This window comes from Homo sapiens, chromosome 16, assembly GCF_000001405.40.
Source record: "Homo sapiens chromosome 16, GRCh38.p14 Primary Assembly".
Taxonomy (NCBI): domain Eukaryota; kingdom Metazoa; phylum Chordata; class Mammalia; order Primates; family Hominidae; genus Homo; species Homo sapiens.
In genome coordinates, this window is record NC_000016.10 from 79,556,194 (window position 1) to 79,575,173 (window position 18,980).

At 42.6% G+C, this 18,980-nt stretch overlaps 1 protein-coding gene across 6 annotated transcripts in view; it reads right to left on the reverse strand.

Annotated features, from left to right (window-relative positions):
• The window catches only part of MAF (MAF bZIP transcription factor), a 398,116-nt gene that overhangs the window by 353,572 nt on the left and 25,564 nt on the right, over window positions 1-18,980 (reverse strand). The window contains exon 3 of one of the 6 annotated variants that reach the window (XM_017023234.3): window positions 13,856-15,157. The exons of the other annotated variants lie outside the window; for them this stretch is intronic. The gene's annotated coding sequence lies outside the window, so the exon portion shown is untranslated. Of the gene's footprint in view, window positions 1-13,855; window positions 15,158-18,980 lie in introns of those variants that run through there. 6 annotated transcript variants of the gene reach the window in all.

Sequence of the window (18,980 nt, forward strand, 5' to 3'; positions counted from 1 at the left end):
TGTCTCTAAGCTTATTATATCATCCAGTCAATAATATCAAATACCACTTACTTCCTCATGCTTTTAATCATGCTACTCCATCTTTTTTGAAATGTCTTCATTTCCCTTTGAATACCCAGTAGATTCCTACCCAGCTTTTACCACTTAGCTCAAGCTCCCTCCTCAAGGCATACCCTGAAAGTCCACAGGTTTGCCATGATCTGGTTTAGCATGTTGACTGTAGAAAGAGAGTTGTATTGGGTTTCTGCTTTTCACGGTCCCTGGCCATTGTTGCCTGAACCCACAATAATAACCCTGCAGAAGGAGACTGTAAGCTGAGACATTATAGGACCTCTGTGTTAAAAGGATTGGACCCAAGAATTTGTTGGTGGTATTTTCTGATGAAATTGAATATATAACACAAATTATGGGGACAAGGGTTGAGCAAGGAGAGTAGATCCTTGGGCAGCCTTTAAAAAATGTCTCTCTCTTATTCTTCATCTTAAATCAAACACAATTAGACTTACATTTCAGCTACGTGGGTAAATTAGATAATCTCTTGGGTAAGTTAGATAATCTCTCTATGCCATGGGTAAGTTAGGTAATCTATCTATGCCTCAATTTACACATCTGAACAATGAGGATAATTAGTAATAACCACACCATAGAGTCATTGTAAGGACACAACATATATGAAAAGCTTATAATAGTGCTTGGTATGAGAAATGTGATCAATAAGTACCAGCTTTGCTGATTATTTCTGTTACGAGTTTCTACCATCCTTGTATACATACAACATACAACAAGCTTTAAAAAAAAAAAAAATCAAGAGACAGGGGCTTGCTATGTTGCCCAGGCTACACTTAAACTCCCAGGCTCAAGTGATCCTCCCAGGTAGCTGCAACTACAGGCTCGCACCACAGCACCACAGCACCCAGCTCACGTACAAGCTCTTCTCAGCCAACACTCCTTTCAACAGACTTCAGCAAGTGTAGTTTTTTTTATTCAATTCCATTGCTAGTGCCAGCTACATCTACACTTGGGCTGCTGGGGGAGAGCTAAGAAAGACTTTCTTGCCAAGGTAATTTCCCGAAGTTTCTGTTTTTGGAGGAGAAAATTAGACAATGGTCAAGATCAGCAGTTTGAGGGTGGAAGAGGAGAAAATAAGCTTCTCTTTGCCAATGATCCTGTCACAGAATTTTCCAGACTTTCAGGTGTAGAGGGGAAGCAAAAACAGCTCTGGCCATGAGCAAGAAGAAATAGATCCCCCAATAGAGTCAGCCCAAATGCAGAGCACAAAGAAACTAAGATTGTTTTGGTTGTGGGCATTTGTTCTAGTCTACAATTTGTACTTCAGCCCTGCCGTTTACTACTTACGTGGCCTTGGGCGTGTTACAGCCCTAAAGACTCAGCTTCCTCCTCTGCTCAATAGAGATACTAATAGCAGCCAACCCTCAGAGTGTTGCAAAGATTAAGTGGGATGACCTGTGTCATACCTAAACATGATTAACCTCCAGTAATGCTAGTTATGATTCCAAAGACAAAGTTCATGTGCAATTTTTCATTTATTCAACTCATATGTGTTAAGTGCCTACTGTATGCTGAGTGCTCTCTGATGGGCAAAGATATAAGATGAGAAACACAGATGCATCCCAATAAGTTGAGCATTATGAAGGAGACATGTGGGTGCTAAAGGTCCTTAAATCCATGGCTCAAAACTTCATTGGGCACTAAGAGAAGGACTCCTGAGGGAAGTGACATTTAAGCCAAGGCCTGATGGGTGCTTCAGGGAAGGGCAGTGAATGTCTGAGGCAGCCACCAAGAAAATGGTTCAGGGGAAGCACACCAGCTTCTCTCATGCACCTTCACATTTCAGAATGTGACACCTGTCCTGGAAACTGATCACTGAATTGAGCAAACCAACAGGAGACCATCACAGCTGAAGTATCTCACAATTGGAGAGAGTGGGTCTTGGGTTTTTCCTGCCTGTGGGGGGCCATTTTATTAGCACGAGGATTGTTGGAAACAGCCGGAAAGAGTGTGAAAGAGAAATGTGTGCATTTATACTTGAGCTATGCCATGTTGAAAAAGTGAATTGGAAACTATGAACTATAAAGAGAAAGAAGAAAGAAGGAAGGGAGGGAGGCAAAGAGGGAGAGAGGGAAGGAAGAGAGGCTGGTCCATCAACCCACTGTCAAAGAAATATCATGGCTTAAAGTCGCATATCCTTTGCTTTGGCTAATTACATTAATCAGATTTGTCATTTCAAATGATCATAGTTCAGTCCTCTACTTCCTGGAGCTAAAATTAAAAAGCAATATTGGCACTGATTTATATTATTGTTTATTTTCTCACTTAAGAGAGAAGGGAAGATTGGCATCAGACTTTTCGGGAATCAGCTCCATAACACAAAGAGAGGGGAGTATGAGGATAGCTGTGCCCCTGGAAGCAACACAGAATGGGCATTTTCATTCATAGTTGGAACTCAGTCCCAGGCCCTGAGGATACACCGTTGAGTGATGCAGATACTCCATGCCTTTCTAAGCCTTACTACCCAGCTAGGGTTAAATTCAAGAGTCCAGTGGCTTTCTTTGGGAAGACAAAACAAAACAATTTTCCCTGTGGATCTAGGATCTTTAGCCTAGTTCTCATTTGATTATAATAGGGGCTCCTGATTCTTTGGAAGGTATTTGACTTTGAGAGATGATCACAGGCTAACCCTCAGGCTTCCTTTCTCTCAAGTCAAACAAATTATTCACAGAATTTGTTTATTCTTGCCTGGGCACATGCATTTCTTTTCTGAACCAACAGAAACACTACAAAACCCCTTACCTAGGATGTGTCTTTTCAATCTCGCCTGGTGGCTGTGTGTTTGTTTGTGAGCTGTTGACATTGATCTAATTGCCGTTTCTGAAACTACAGTACAGCTTGTTGTACACCAGTGTTGAGCCTGAGGACACTGGCCGTGGTTTGGGCGGGCTTAGCTAGTAACCGGCTTGCACCATCAAGAAGATGGCTGTGGAGGCCCTTGGGTTCCAGCAAATGATGGTTTGTGCACACACTTAACATTCTTCATTAGAATGAACCACTGTTAGAAGCAGACAGCAGTTTGGTTTACCACTTGAATCAGCCCGATCACCCACATTGCAAGAACGAAAAGGCCCCAGTTATTCATGGTCCTCAACAATGTGTATCTCTATGTAAATTCTAAAGGCATGACAACTGGTGAAAAATAAACTGGGTCTTCCAGAGGGGAAGTCTTCGAGTGGCAGGTTTCAAAAGCTACAGGTTCCTCCCCAAGAGGCGCACATCCCTACCTGTTTCTCTGCCTTCCGTTCTACTAGCAAAGCCAGGAAACAAATATTAGGTGATTGAAAAGCTTGAGGCTTCCACTGTTTTATTGACTTGTCACTGCAGACAAACTGACTATAATTTACTTCAAGAGTAAATTACTAGATGTTCATAAAAAAAAAACTGCTGTACATTACTATCTGTAATTAAGATGTTAAGCATGATTCCATTTTTAAATTGGAGAAGCCAACGGAAATGAAAAATGCTGATGATGCTATATTTCACTCTAATTTTTCTTTCCCTCCTCTTGATTCTATCAATTTATTGTTTAGCTATCTGGTTGGCAGATGGGATAAAACAAAGCATGGATGCTTGAAAGTTCTCCTACCATAACACTGCTGCTTTGGTTTTATTTGTGTTGTGTTGTGTTTCTCTCCTATATCTATGTCACCTTTTTTGAGACAGGGTCTGGCTCTGTCATCTAGGCTGGAGTGCAGTGACACAATCACAGTTCGCTGCAGCTGTGAACCTCTGGGGCTCAAGCAATCCTCCTGCTTTAGCCTTCTGAGTAGCTGGGACTACAGGCATGGGCCACCATGTGTGGCTGATTATTTTTAGAACTATTTTTGTAGAGATGGGGTCTTGCTACTTTGCCCAGGCTGATCTTGAACCCCTGGCCTCAAGCAATTCTCCTGCCTCGGCTTCCCAAAGTACTGGGACTACAGGTGCACCTGGGCCAGGTGCACCACTGTACCTGGCCACCAACAGTATTCTTAAATGAAATTCCATGTCACATATTACTTTGGAGACATTATTGGTTAAATCATGAAGTGAAAAGGATTTGAGATGAACGCGAAGAGACAGGAAGCCTGTGTAAGCCTCCATCTGGACATTTCAAATTAAGTTGAACAAATACAATGTTGAAAAGGAAACATACGAACGAACAAAAAGCAAGCTGAAAAAAAAAAAACCTGAACTATTTTGTTTTTCTACAACTGTATGCAATTGTGGAAGCTGTTGAAGGATCCCAGGAACTATCAGTCCAAAATATGATGCAATGGTTTGCTGACTACTTCAAGCTAAAGGCATTTGAGAAATAGCAAATGCACAGAAGGTCTTTTTTTTTTCTTTCTGAATCTCCCTTACCTAACTAAATGCACATTTTCCATAAGATACTCACTGTCATGAAAATCCTCCTGAGGAATTTTTATATCTATCTGGGAAGATTAACACACAACAGGAATGAGCCTAGAAGTCACTGGAAATTGGCTACTCATCCAGAGAGGCCACTGCCTATTCTTCTGAAAGCCCATTCACGTTTTCATAATCCCTAGGTCACCTCCACTACCCTCCCAACTCCCCTGTGAAGGACGCCCTTCAGTGACGAGGTGTGGCGGGAAATAGGGGGAACACACAGAGCAGGACTACCTAACTGTTTTGGAGAAATTCAACAGCCATGTAGGTCTTTTTGGTTCTCAACTGCATTCAAGGTTTGCTCTACCCATCCTTGCCTAGGGGATTTCATCCACTCTGCTACCTCAATGCTGTCCTGCCGTCTACAGCTGCAAAACTTAGATTTTTAGTCTAAGTCTTTGCTTTCATCCCAAGACCTGTATCTTTAACTGGCTCTCTGACATATCAAATTCCACATGTGATGAAATCTTCTGGGTCACACTGGGCTCATGGGCACACATTTCTCTTCCACATGATGCCCCTTACACATTAACAGAATTTGTATGCTTTTCTCTTGTTCATCTGCCTATTGCTGGTGTATTTTAAACATTTTTTTTTCCTAGATGTCCTTTATTAAGTGATAAAATTTCCCTCTCTTCCTAGTTTGAAGTTTTCTTTCTTTTTTTTTTTTATATATACTTTAAGTTTTAGGGTACATGTGCACAACGTGCAGGTTAGTTACATATGTATACATGTGCCATGTTGGTGTGCTGCACCCATTAACTCGTCATTTACCATTAGGTATATCTCCTAATGCTATCCCTCCCCCCTCCCCTCACCCCAAAACAGTCCCCGGTGTGTGATGTTCCCCTTCCTGTGCCCACGTGTTCTCATTGTTAAATTCCCACCTACGAGTGAGAACATGCAGTGTTTGGTTTTTTGTCCTTGCGATAGTTTGCTGAGAATGAGGGTTTCCAGCTTCATCCATGTCCCTACAAAGGAAACATTTTACACTGGAACCTTCAGGAAAGGGAGCAGGAATCTCCACTGCCCCTACAATGTCTTGAGGAGAAGAAGAAAAAATGGTCTTCAAAGCCAAATAAAAATTAGAAGAATTATCCACACACTTCCGAATGAAACTCAATGGACTGAGAAGAGAGGAGACGGTGTGTTTGGATGTTTGACAGGAATGACCTCCAAAGCTAGGATTAACCAAGAGTAACTATTTGCCTTCATTTATACAGAAAATATTTGTTGAGCACCTGAAGTATTGCAGGGCACTCAGCTGGGTACAAGCGAGCCAAGAGTAGACACAACAGTATCTCTGGTTCAACATGAGCCGTTTGTCCCCAGGCTCACAATCACTTATGTTTGCAAGCTCAAAACCACTGGGCAGCTATTACCTCTTGTTGGTCTTCAGCGTTCTAACACATTCCTTGCTCTACTTGGAAAACATTCCCCCTTTCCATCCCTATTCCCTTAACTTCTCAAGACATAATCCTGCTCATCCCTAAATATTCAACTTAAAACATGTAATATTCAGACCACGTCTAGTCACACCATTCTGTTCCCAGTCTTTACGGTACTTGGCATAATTGTAATGAATTACTTGTGTAAAGCTCATCTACACCAACGAATTGTGAAGCAGTACAAAGACATGGACAAGGTTTGTTTTGTTCCCATTGATAGTCCCAGCATCTCACTGCCTTAAACAATAGTTTCTTCATAGATGATGTGACCCGTGAATGAATAAATGGATGGAAGGATAAGGAAATGGCAAGTGAACTCCCTCACCAGCTCCAGGACCTATAGGAGTCAGAGATATAGTTATTACCCTTGGGAAAAATACATTTTGTAGGCTTAAAGGCCCATTGTCTAACCAGACCACAAAACATTTCTTTACATCATCTACACCCTGGCTGCCAACTAACACCACAGAAGGTCTTTCAGCCTTGTCCCTGAACACAGACCTAAGAACACAAATTTCTCAACATCTGTAGACCTCGGACTCCAGGCTGAAGTGCCAAGATCTCTCTAATCCTCATTCTTAATCCCCCATGCTTTGGAGAAGGCCACCCACTCACCACAAAGCTGTTGTCCAGGGCTCCAACTCAGTATTGTACTCACTCCTAGGAAAACAAGTGGAAGATGAAGAGGAGACATCATCCCACCCAGGAAGTGGGTCTGGTTATGAGACCGTCATACTTGCCTGCCTGGATTCAGGCCCCTCCCCAGGTCCAGAAAACAGAGTAGATCTTTCCCTTCTTTTTCAGATCCAAATCAAATTCAAACAAAACAAAAGCAAAAATCCTTCAGGCCTCAATTTCAAATTCAAATGTGTCTACTGGTCAGCAGGTTCATTTGTGCCTCCTCCTGTCCATTCATCCGTTCAGCAAATATCAAGTCAGTGTTACATCTAGGCTTGCACTAGGTGGTTATACTATGGAAACAGACAGCAGAACTTACGCTCAGGAGGATTTATCGTACGGGCTGAAGGCTGTACCCATAAAGCACTGGACTTTCCAGACACCAAAGCTAAACCTCAATCTGGCAGGTAAAGGTTTTCAACTGGATAACTCAAGTAACTCTGAAAACTCTAGAGCTTAGTGCATCGTCTCATGTGACAGCCGCTGCCCATGTGTGGTTACAGAACACTGGCAATGTGGCCAGTGTGTCTCTAGAACTAAATTATTAATTTTGTTTGACTCTAACTACTTTGTGTTTAAATTTAAAAACTGAAGCAGTGAAAATATTGTTTCTTTCTGTTAAGTACATCTTTATTGTTGTGGTCAAACTCCATTTCACTTTAACCTTATTGAACATTTAGAATCCAAATTGAGATATACATCAAATTTTAAAGACTTGGCACCAAAAAAAAAAAAAGATTTGTGAAATATCTCAGTAATACATTTTTTATAATGAGTATGCATTGATATCATAATACTTTTGATTTATGGCATTTAAAATAATATTAAAAATCATTTTAGCTGTTTCTCTTTACTTTTTTAAATGAGGCTGTTACAAAATTTAAGATTTAAAATGTGGCTTACATTATATTTCTTATTGGACAGCTATAGATGTCTTAATAATTAGCTAGCAAACACACACACACACACACACACACACAAACACACACACGTGTGACCACTGAGATGTTCTCAGGGAGTTTTCATATCTGATTCCTTACACTCACCTAGCAATTCTGGTTGAGAAGTAAAAAGCCTTCTACTCCTTTTTAATTTCACATCCAAAAAGTATCATCCAAACTCCTCAGGACAGGATCACCTGTGATCATTTTTGGATGTTGGGAAAGCCAGCCTCAAACTATTAGCTTAGGTTTGAAGTTTATTCTTAATCTAGTTCATAATTCCACGTATTTCAAAGGAAAAAAGAGAGACCTTTCAGGCAGGTGGGATGCATTTCAAGTGGAGCAGACCCTGCTTTCAACAGATTCCCTCCCCCATGGCCACTGCCGCCCCTTCAGGCCTCCTGGGATTTCTGCTAAGTGGCTTTCACTACATAATTAAATGCAAAGTCCTGGCAGGGCAGCGTTCCTCCTCTTTACCTTAGCAATTTTTTGTTTTGTTTTGTTTCAGGAGAAGACGGAAGGAGTATTTCTTGGTCCTAGGAAGTGTGCCTGCCTTGCTGGAAGACTTCTTTTTTGCATTTGTTACCTAGAAGTTTCTTTCTTCTAGTTGCGGGGGAGAAGGAAAGAAGAATTATGGGGAAGAAAAGTGAGGAATCAGTTTATAGCCGAATAAGGTCAACAGTGTCAACTGGGGACCCAGAGATAGGCAAGGGGGAAGTAGCTATGAACTGGGCACACTGGTTTACTTAGAAATAATACATCTTTGAGCCTGATAACTTCCCTGATGGAAGAAGACTTCCACTGGGCACATCCTGAAGAAGCCGCACTGTTTACAAAGTACTGTCACCCACAGCGCCTTCTTTTGTCCATGTGACAACTCTCGGGGCATGGAGCACCCTGTGGCAGCCCACAGTGGTCCGACCCACCCATCTTCTTTGTTAATGAAAGTCAGGATTTTATTCAGGTCTGCCCAGACAGTGTGGCTGTGGGGAAATCTGGCAGATCCCCAGCCCTGTGGAGCATGTGTGGGGTGAACCTTGACCAGTCCAAACCTGTAATGGTTAATTGCATAACCAAGGCCAACCATTGACAGAGGGATGGACGCCTGACAATTGCAGCCTATTAACTATGTGGGGAAGCGACTTCTGCAAAACATTCCTTGCTCTTACGAAGGAATAAAGGGCTGCACACTCTCTGCCTCTGGTTTTGGGTGGGCTGGTGTAAAAAATGTGGTACCTCGAACCTTACACATGTCTTACATCTGAAGCTTGAGAATGGTGGAGCTGGGAGAGGGCAAGAGTCCGGGCCCTGACATCATTCAGCTGTGGAAATAAACAGCTTTGCAAGGGCACCTACCCTTGGACTTCTTACGGGAGATAACTAGTCCCAGGGTGTTCACACCATTCAGAGCCAAATTTTCTGCTACCAAAGACCCAAAATACCCAGTTACAATCCTCTACGTTGCCTCTGCAAGCTGGGTCTATGGGAGTTGAACCCGGCCCAATTACCTGTTTTTGTGGAAAAAAGAAGCTTTATTGAAACACAACCAGGGGCATTCATTTACATATTGTCGATGGCAGGGTTGAGCAGCTGCAGCAGAGATCATGTGGCCCTTGAAACCTAAATGATTGACTACCTGGCCATTTACAGAAAAGGTCTGCTGACCTGGGACTATGATATCACAACTCTCCCTTACCTCCCTTTCACTCAGTGATATGGTTTCGCTGTGTCCCCACCCAAATCTCACCTTGAACTGTAGGTCCCACAATCTTCACGTGTTGTGGGGGGGGGGACCAGTTGGGAGGTGACTGAATCATGGGGGTGGTTACCTCCATGCTGTTCTTGTGATAGTGAGTTCTCATGAGATCTGATGCTGTTATAAGGGGCTCTTTTCCCTTCGCTCAGCACTTCTCCTTCCCGCCTTCATGTTGCTTCCCCTTCTGCCATAATTGTAAGTTTCCTGACGCCTCTCCAGCCATGCTGAACTCTGAGTCAACTAAACTTCTTTCCTTTATAAATTACCCAGTCCCAGGTATGTGTTTATTAGTATAAGAATGGACTGATAAACTTAGCAGGCTCAGGGATGTTGAAAACCCTATACTGAGAGCACTATTCTGAAATATTCCGAGGTAGGCAGTATTTTCTCCCACTTGATAGATGAGGAAACTGAAGTTCAGAAAGAGACAGTCTCTTGCTTCAAGTCACACAGCTAGAAACTGACAGGACAAGGATTGGACATCAAGTCTGGCAGACTCTAGGCCATGCACAATTCACCCTGCACTGATAGACCCTGGGCCACTCTGATCCTCCTGGCTCTTAGGTCTAGGTTTGTGTATTAAAAACAAACAAACGCAACCAAACAAAACCCAACCAACTCACAGGTAATTCTGATCTGCATCCAGAACAACATCTCTGTAGATCATCAGTTTCTTTTTTTTAAAGAAATGTACATATCCATATATCTGTAAGGACCAATTAATTGCCAACACTCTGCCATTAGAGATACAAAGACAATCCCCATGCATCAATATAGGACACAGTTTCATCTTTGTGGCACTTTTAGACCAATGTGGGACAGATTAATCTTAGGGTCTTACAAAAGGCTGTAAGAGCTGAGGGAATGGTCGGAGGGGCCTGGGCTGGGATTCACAGCAGGGAGTGGGGACTGTACTGCAAGACCCCCAGTCCTCCCTGTTGATGGCCCAGTGGATCCGTGCTGAGCTGACGGAGTGATGGTGCTTCTGGGAAGGAAGGGCCCATGGGAGCATCTTGCCCACCTTTCAGTGCTAACCAAACCAACCATCTCTGGAGGGTTGATCCTGGACATGCATTCCTTTCACTCTGCACCCTCGTGGCCATTTGGCCCTCCTGACCACGCCACAAGTGTGGATCTTGGGGGAAGAAGCCAAGGTTCAAGAGCAAAGTGTAATGTCCCCCATCCCCCAGCCTGAGTTAGTGGATGAACCCTGAACTGGAGTCTACTTGGCCTGAATCCTTCATCTTGGTGAGATGTGCAGGGCCCTAAGGAACCTCCAGTTCCCGACTCCTTCCACACTTCATGGAAATGGGACTCTCACCCGGAGGGAAAAGGCCTTTGGAACCCTGTGGTTTGATTTCCAAATCCTCTTTGGCTGCTGAAGCTTTTGAGGCTCTGATGGATGTAGGGACCCTCTTTCCAGAAAAATGGACTTGGATAGAATCTTGAATACCTCTTAGGGCATTTTATAGAGTCCTGGAAGGTAATCTTTTGGCTGTCTGGGATGAAGTAAATGCATATAAAGAAAGACTACCTACAATTGAGATGCAAACATTAGGTGGGGCATGGTGGCTCACGCCTGTAATGCCAGCACTTTGGGAGGCTAAGGCAGGCAGATCACAAGGTCAGGAGTTCGAGACCAGCCTGGCCAACATGGCGAAACCCTGTCTCTACTAAAAATACAAAAATTAGACAGGCATTGTGGCAGGAGCTTGTAATCCCAGCTACTTGGGAGGCTGAGGCAGGAGAATCGCTTGAACCCAGGAGACAGAGGTTGCAGTGAGCCAAGATCGTGCCATTGCACTGTAGCCTGGGTGACAAGAGCAAGACTCCACCTCAGAAAAAAAAAAATGCAAATATTAGCTAGAGGGGTCACTCATTCAATCTGAGTTTTGATTACTACCTTAGTTTGATTATACACATACACAGATACATCCACATACTGTCAAATCAACTGAGAAACGGATCCATAGAAGCCACAAGGCAAGGGATTTTTTTGTTTTATCTTTTTGCTTTTTCTTTTTTAAAAAAAGTAAGTAAAAAAAATGACCAATGATATTAGCAAACTAGTTTTGTCTGTTTGTATATTTTTCCTGTCCTGATCTGGGTCAAATTTAATGAGAATTAAATAAAGTGAGGGCTTCAGAAGGTGAAGCATGGCCTCTCCCCACTGGGCTTGGCACAAGGCCTTGCTGGGTATCTCCTCCCTGCCTACCATCGCCTCCATGAGCAGCTCAGTGATCTGCATTTCCAATAAGTAAATCCCATCTACAGGGCAACAGGCTTTCCTATGTCTAGGGAGATGTGTGCAAAATACCTTCTAGTCCTCAGAAATGGAATCTTCCACCTGCCAGCTAATGTCTCTTTGAGTTCCCTATTTATTTTTATAAGGCTCTAAAGGTGAATTTTCTCCTGCGTCGCAGAGCTGAAAGTTAAGCTTAATGTACAAATCTTTATTTTCCAAAGAGGCAGGTTGGCCTTCTTGTATCGACAGACTCCAGAGCTTAGATTTATTACAGAATGATAATCAGGCAAAAGAATAAATAAGCTGCATCTTTAATTCATTAATCACCTCGGAAAGCAAAATGAACTACAGTAAAGAGGACAATATGTTTTCAAATGTTGGGGGTGGGGGAAGAGGGAGTCTGTTTCTCAATAAAATCCAGTCGCTAAAATCCATTTTGCATGCAGATTAGAGAAAGGGCATTTTACCTCTGCGGCTGTAGTTCAGATAGGAGCTGGAAGCTCTGCAAAGGAAGTCTGGCAGGGATGGGTGTCTGTGGATGGCCCCTAATGGTCCCTGGTGTCTTCCACTGGGTTCCTGTTGTAACTCACAAGATGACCCACAGGCTTATTAAGAGCCCAGGTGTTGGAATCAGACAGACCTGGGTTCAAATTCCTGTTCTATCTGGAAAATGGGAAGGCCTGTAGGGAGCCTTCCTAATTCATTTATTGCCTTGAGACATGTCTACCTCATGGTAGGTGAGTCTGAAGGTCTTTTATCTTCTCAACATTTCACTTCACCAAATTCTCATTAAAACAGGCATACACTGAGGCTAGAAACATGAGGTAAAAATTAAACATCAGGTTTTTTAGTGGCCACATGCACTTGAGCACTGTTGGAGATATCATCCGGTTTCTGAGTCTTGGATCTGGCCTGCAATACTAAATAGTTGCTGTTATTTTTGCTGCTGTTCCTGAGTCCTTGCCACCTGAAAACTAGAAATTTGCTGCCTTTCCACCTTTTAGTGGACCTACAAATTGAGAAGTAGTAAGTGAGCATCTTGAACCCTTCAAGACAACCTTCAGAATCAAGGCCTGTGTAAACATCTAACAGAAATGGCAATAATAGATCATGTTTACTGAGCACTTCTAGGGGCTTTACGTAGATTATCTCCTTTAATCCTTACAAGCATTCTTCAGAACACTGAGTCTGTTACTGTGCCCATTTTACAGATGAGAAGAACAGATCCAAAGAGGTTAAGCCCCCTCATGCAAGTTTATGTCACTAAATTAGTCAGCTAGAAGGTTAAGCATGTCTACCATGTACTGAGCACTTCCTGCCTAAGTCCCTGCAGGATCTCATTCATTCGTAGCAACAATCTAGAAAGACAGGTCTCACTATTCCCACTTCACCTAGGAAGCCAAACAGCCTCAGAGAGTTTAAACCAGAGTTTCTCAGTCCCAGCATAATTGACATCGAGGGTCGGATAACGCTTTGTGGGAGGGTCTTCCCTGTGCATTGTAGAATGTTTAGCATTATCCCTCGTCTCAACCTCACTGGAGGCCAGTGGCCCCCCTGCCTTGAGTCTTGGCAACCAAAAATGCCTTCAGACATTGCCAAATGTCCCTGGAGGAGCAGCATCCTCCAGTTGAGACCCATTGCTTTAAACAGGTGAGTTTCTCTGGATGGCAGCTGCAGAGCTGGGGATGGGATGTGGTCTTTAACTCCTCTATCAGATTGTTTTCCAAATCCTGCTTTAGTTACTGAAGGCAGAGGTTCTCAAGTGCTCAAATGTGGTCCCTGTTCCAATATCACCTGGAAACAGGTTTGAAACGTAATTCTCAGGCTCTACACTCAGACTGCCTGAATCGGAAACTCGGGGTGAGGCCATGCAATGTGTGATTCTGATGTTCACTGAAGTTTAGAACTCGTGCCTTAGAACAGTGCTTCTTAGCCTTAGCTACACAGTACAGTCACCCAGGGAGCTTTGAAAAAATTATTGATGCCTGGGTACCACCCCAGGATTATTTAATTGATCTGGGCTGGGGAATAGGCATTTGTATTTGAAAAGCTTTTCAGATGATTTTCACAAGTGACCAATGTTAGGAACCACCAACCTAGAGGGAGCTGTCCCCGGCTCTTAGGGAGGCAGGGGTCAAAGTAAAACAAGTTAAATACAAACAATTGACGTTGGCTTCATGATCCATCAGCTGGAATCCGGGAGGGATGCAGCAAAGACCAGGTGGTGGGATCCTTTGCTGTCAGCTTCAAACCACAGCCCCCAAAGCCCCACTCCTGTCTTTGTTCTTTTTTTTTTTTTTTTTTTGGATCTTTCTTCCATTGATTTATCTAAATTTCTTCAGCTGTTTGGAAGCTATTTATTTAGACTCTACACCAGCTCAAAAGGTTAAGAAAGCCATTAAATTGACAGGTTGATGCTTTTCATGCTGTTGGACATATCTGCAAGGTAAAGGAATTATTGCTTTGGATGGAAATAAGATTTACCTTTCTTTCTAACACTACCTAAGCATCCTTCTGGGCTCTGCCTAATCTAACCCCTCCCTCCAGCCCTGGCCTTCCAAAATGTCCTGTTATCCCCCCATCCCTCCTCAGCTCTTTGCTGGCCTATCTTCTCCCCAGTCTTTCAGATTCCAAAGCCATTTCCTTATTAACCCAGCCATGTTCCCTCCTATCCTATTCCCTATAGCCCTGGAGCATCCTATCACTTCTTCCTGGGTATCCATAACCTCTCCATTTTCCAAGATCTTTCTTTGACATCTCCAGCCCACAGCCATCTCTAACTTCTCTGCTTAGTTTGTGCTTACCACCAGACTAGCAATAGCAGATATACATTTGATACTCCTGTGTTGAAATCGTTCATCTGGGAAGCTCACGCAATGGTGTGCCGCTAGGTGTTTAACAACTGGCTCTATGGGTGGGTCAGGATAAGGAAACGGGCTCTGATTTTACAGCATTTGTATTCCCTTCTGCAAATATTCCCACGATGGCCAATTTCATGCTACCAGTGTAAAGTCCCCAGATGTGGAATTGAGAAGATACAATACAACTGGTCCTTCTGAGCCCATGCCTATGGGCATACTACTGACAGTCAATCCAGCAAACATTTACTGGGAATATGTTCTGTGCGAGTTTCTGTGCTAAATGCTGAGCGTAAGGAGGAAAAGAGCAGCCAGCTGGTATTGGCACTTAACAGATGCCGCCTGGGTTCCTTCATTTAACCTGTATAAGAATTCCATCAGATCTGTTCTAGCATTCTCATCTGAAAGGTGAGGAAACCAAGCGTCTATAGAGGGAAAGTGACTTTCCCAAAGTCACAAAGCTAGAAAGGTCTGGCACTGATGACTGTGTAGTTTGCTCCACCCTGAGGAATCCCCACATTTCCAGTTAAAAAAAAAAAAAAAGTGATCCTTTGCTACATCCAAGACTGTCTGAGCTGACATTTCCTTAGAGAGAAGTACATCTCATAGATATTCAAATTTGGCTGCATAGAACTTAGTGTCCCAGGGGGATGAGCGGGAGGGAGGAAGGTCTAAGAACTTGAAGAATCAGCTCCACCCTCAGTGGCTTCCAACTTCTCTTTTACATAGTGATCCCAGATACACTTTCATTTTCCAAAACGGCTCCTCTGCAGAAACAAAACAAAATAAAACCGGTATGAAAACGTCTGATTCATGCCAAATCCCTAAATTTATGGAGGTGGTAACTGAAGCCCAGGGAGCTTCTAGTGGTCATTTCCACCACTCCATAATTCTTTCTAGCCTGGTGCAGTATTAGCATACTACAAGAAAAAAACATCTCAGCGGAATTTTTTTTTTTTTTTTTTTTTTTTACAAATGCACCAAAGCCCAGTACTTCCCCATAAAATGGGAAACTGTTAAGGCAAAATTTTAAGCATGCCAAGAACTGCATCCTGTAGGCCAAACGTAGTGGGTTCAAATCTCTCTATCCTCTGCTCTCCTAGGTTCAGGCAGGATAGATCTACAGGTCTACAAGGTTTCCAGCCTTGGCATCACCAGCTTCTCTTAACCCAGTCAAATCTAGATTCACGAAGGAGCTCCAACTGGACCCATGCTGGAAATGCTTTTCAGCCACGTTGAACAAAACATGTTTTACATCATTTCTTTGCAGGAAGTTTTGTCCCTGCTTCCAGGACTTCCCCCAAGTGCAACAAGGTCAAAGAATTAGAACTGCAAAATCTCCCCCTTTCTTTGCCAGCCCCTGCCCCTGCCTGACTCACTCTTCATTTTCCTTCTCCTAAGAAAAGACTATGACTGCATTGGTGTATTTTAAGATATAACTCACAAATTAAAAACTGAAAGAAGAAACACATTTTTCTGTCAATGGCTTAAGGGGATTCCACCTCTAAGCTGCTGCTAAAGCTTTTTCAGTCTTTTTTACATTTGTAGCATTTTGGAGCAATTTGCTGGAGTCAAAGAAAACAGTGAAATTTCCACAACCAACTTCAAAGCCCCCAAATCCTGTATCGGTGGAGGGGAGTCTGGTAGCAACACCACAGGGGCCGTTTTTCAAAGAGGTGTGTGGAGGGACGTGCCAGGCATTTTTGCCCTGCATCTGCGATTGATGTTAATGGCAGGCACGTGACCAAATCCCCATGTAGTTCTTTGAAAAATGCCCCTCCCTTTCTTCCCCCAACACTTTTGGCTGTGACAATGCAGATGATACAGAAAAATCCTAGAACAGAGGAACCGCTGCCACAGCTCAATGAACAATACCGGCCTTAATTCAATTAACGCACATACGTCTCTTTTATCTGGTGGAGAGCTCAGAGCAAATTCAGGTTGATCAGGAGGAGGGGCTACCTGGACGGTTTCACATTTGAAAATGTTTTGCATTTGAAAAATGAATTCTAGGCAGAAGTGGCTTCAGAGGAGGGAAACATGCCAAATGCCAGGCACTGACCACTTTAGTTCATTCCTCTCTTGAGTTTCAGCCTCCTGTTTTCACGCCTTATTTGGCCTGACCTTCGAATTTCTTCTTGATCTGCGCCCTGTCTACCCATCTTGGCTTGTGTCCGAGGCAATCCTTCCTCCCCAACTCACACACATAAACACACTGTTTATTCCAGCTATATCCAAAGTGCTGTATTGAATTAAAATTCCCAAACATGAAATGTGTATAAAAAGGTGTTATGTCTGTGAATAGTCTGTGCTATAAGATGCTATAAATATTAGCTGCTTAAGAGGTTACCCAATTTAAATGCTCACAATGGTGTATGGAGACTGCCAATCATTCTATGTTCTAGCCAAAAGAAAATATCATTATTATGTGGTTGTGAGGAAGGTTGAACATTGTTTCATAATGTTATTGGCCATTCATGTGTATTTTTTTTCCCCAAAAACTGTCCATTCTTCTCTGGACATTTTCCTATTAGGTCATTTATCTTCTTATGGATTTCCAGGAGCTATTTATATTAAGGAAATTAGGTTTTTGACTATCTTGTGGTTGCAACTTTCCCCACTTAGTGTTTTCATATTTTTGTTGTGTTTTTGTTTTGTTGTGCTTTTGCTCTGCATAAGTTTTAAATGCTTATGTCATCAAACTTACCGAGCCTTTGCTTTACAGCATTTGGGTTTTACATCAGGCTAAGGAAAATCTTCCATATCCCAGATTAAAAATCTAGGTTGCTTTTGATACTTTTGAAGCTTTTGTTTTTATGCATGGTGTTTACAAAATGGTTACACCCCTCCTGTTCACCTCATAAACCCATGTTTGAAAAATTCCCCGCCCTTTCTTCCCCCATATCTTCTGGAAAGCATTGATCAAACAGGACCAGCATTTATGTTTTTAACTGTCTTAATCAATAATAAATCTTGAAAGCAAGAATGCGTTTTATTTGTTTCTATATCCTCAGCACCATGTTCATTTTCTACTGTATAGGTAATACACAATAGATATTTGTTCAATGAAATCTTAAAATAATTAAAGCTTAATAACTTTGACAACAAACCAGTCAGAGAAAAAAAGACGAACTTTCTAATATATGTCCAAAGAAGAACATTAAGTAATAGCACTAGTGCAGACTACATTTAACAGGCTGTCCAGGAAAGGAAACTTAGTCTGCAAAAGTGACAAGGAAATGTCAGGCTAGGGGTCTTTTGAAAACCTAGAACAAAGTTAAGAGAATAACTTCTAATTTTGACAGATTGCAAAGATGTCATCTTGGTCATTTCACAAACTTTTACCAGGCTCTTATCTCCCGTTCGTTTGCCTGTTTGTGTACCTAATTGCTTATTCAGGTATACCGTGCCGCATTCTGGAAAGGATCTGAGACAGCTACTATGTGCTACTCACCGATACAGGGCTGTGTTGGACACAAAAATAAATGAGGCGTGAACTTCACGCTCACAGAGTTTAGCGTCCAAGAGGAGATGAGAAATTTAAAACGTAATTGTCTTACAAGGCAGAGTGAAGAGTGCCTTTGGAGCAGGCCCACTTTTGTGTGGTTTAATACTATGCTTTAGAGGAGAATCAATGAGTCTGACAGTGTGCGATCAAGTATCTTGGTTAATTCCAGCCAGCACCATTTTCCCTCAGTCCTGTTTCTACTTTAGCCCCAATCACACAGTAAATAAGTGTCTGATGATGACAAATAAATAAATATTTTATTGGTATCTGCAGAAGTCTGTGCAAATAATTTGGGAATACCTCCATCCTTGTGACTTGATAACTAAATACATTATTCTCTTTTCTCTGCAGAATGTTTTTAAAAACACCATCAACACCGTTAAAATGAGCCATTCTAACACCTCAAAATCGTCTATGCATCTCTCTTAGTTCAAGTGCTGGCTCTGGGATGAACTGATCACTTCACTGATTTCGTGAGACCCATGGAAGACCTCTGACCATAGCTCAATTGACCCATTTTCCAAAAGAGAAGAGTGAGACTCAGCAGGGCAATCGGGGGAATGTGACCTACCCAGGTCACATGGCTGCTTTAGTGGCTAAGTCTGGCTTCAAACTGAGGCTTCTAGACACCAACTTCAACTCACTTTCCCTGGGCACCTTACCTGACTGCCTTGGGCTTGCTTATAAAGAATAGCATTGATGTCAATGAAGAACTAGGAAGGGCAGATGAAGCAGGGGAAATGCAAAGCAACTGTTCATCCCTTTCCATTTTAAACTGGACCTCAGACATGCTGAGTTGTAAAACTCAGAGTAAAATATGGGAAATTCACCAGCAGCTTCTTGCCTTTCTGGGTTTCAGTAGATAACTGTGTCCCTGGGGTTCTTCTACTAGGAGTTCTCAATCCTAATTGTACATCAGAATCACTGGGAATTTTTTTTTTTTTTTTAATACTGATGTCTGAGCCCCAACGGCCACTAAAGGTTCTTGATTCATGTGGTCTGAGGCACGGCATCAATGTTTTTAAAGTCCCACAAACCAGTCTTTAGATTCAGAGACCCGTTTATGCCCCAATCCTACTCAC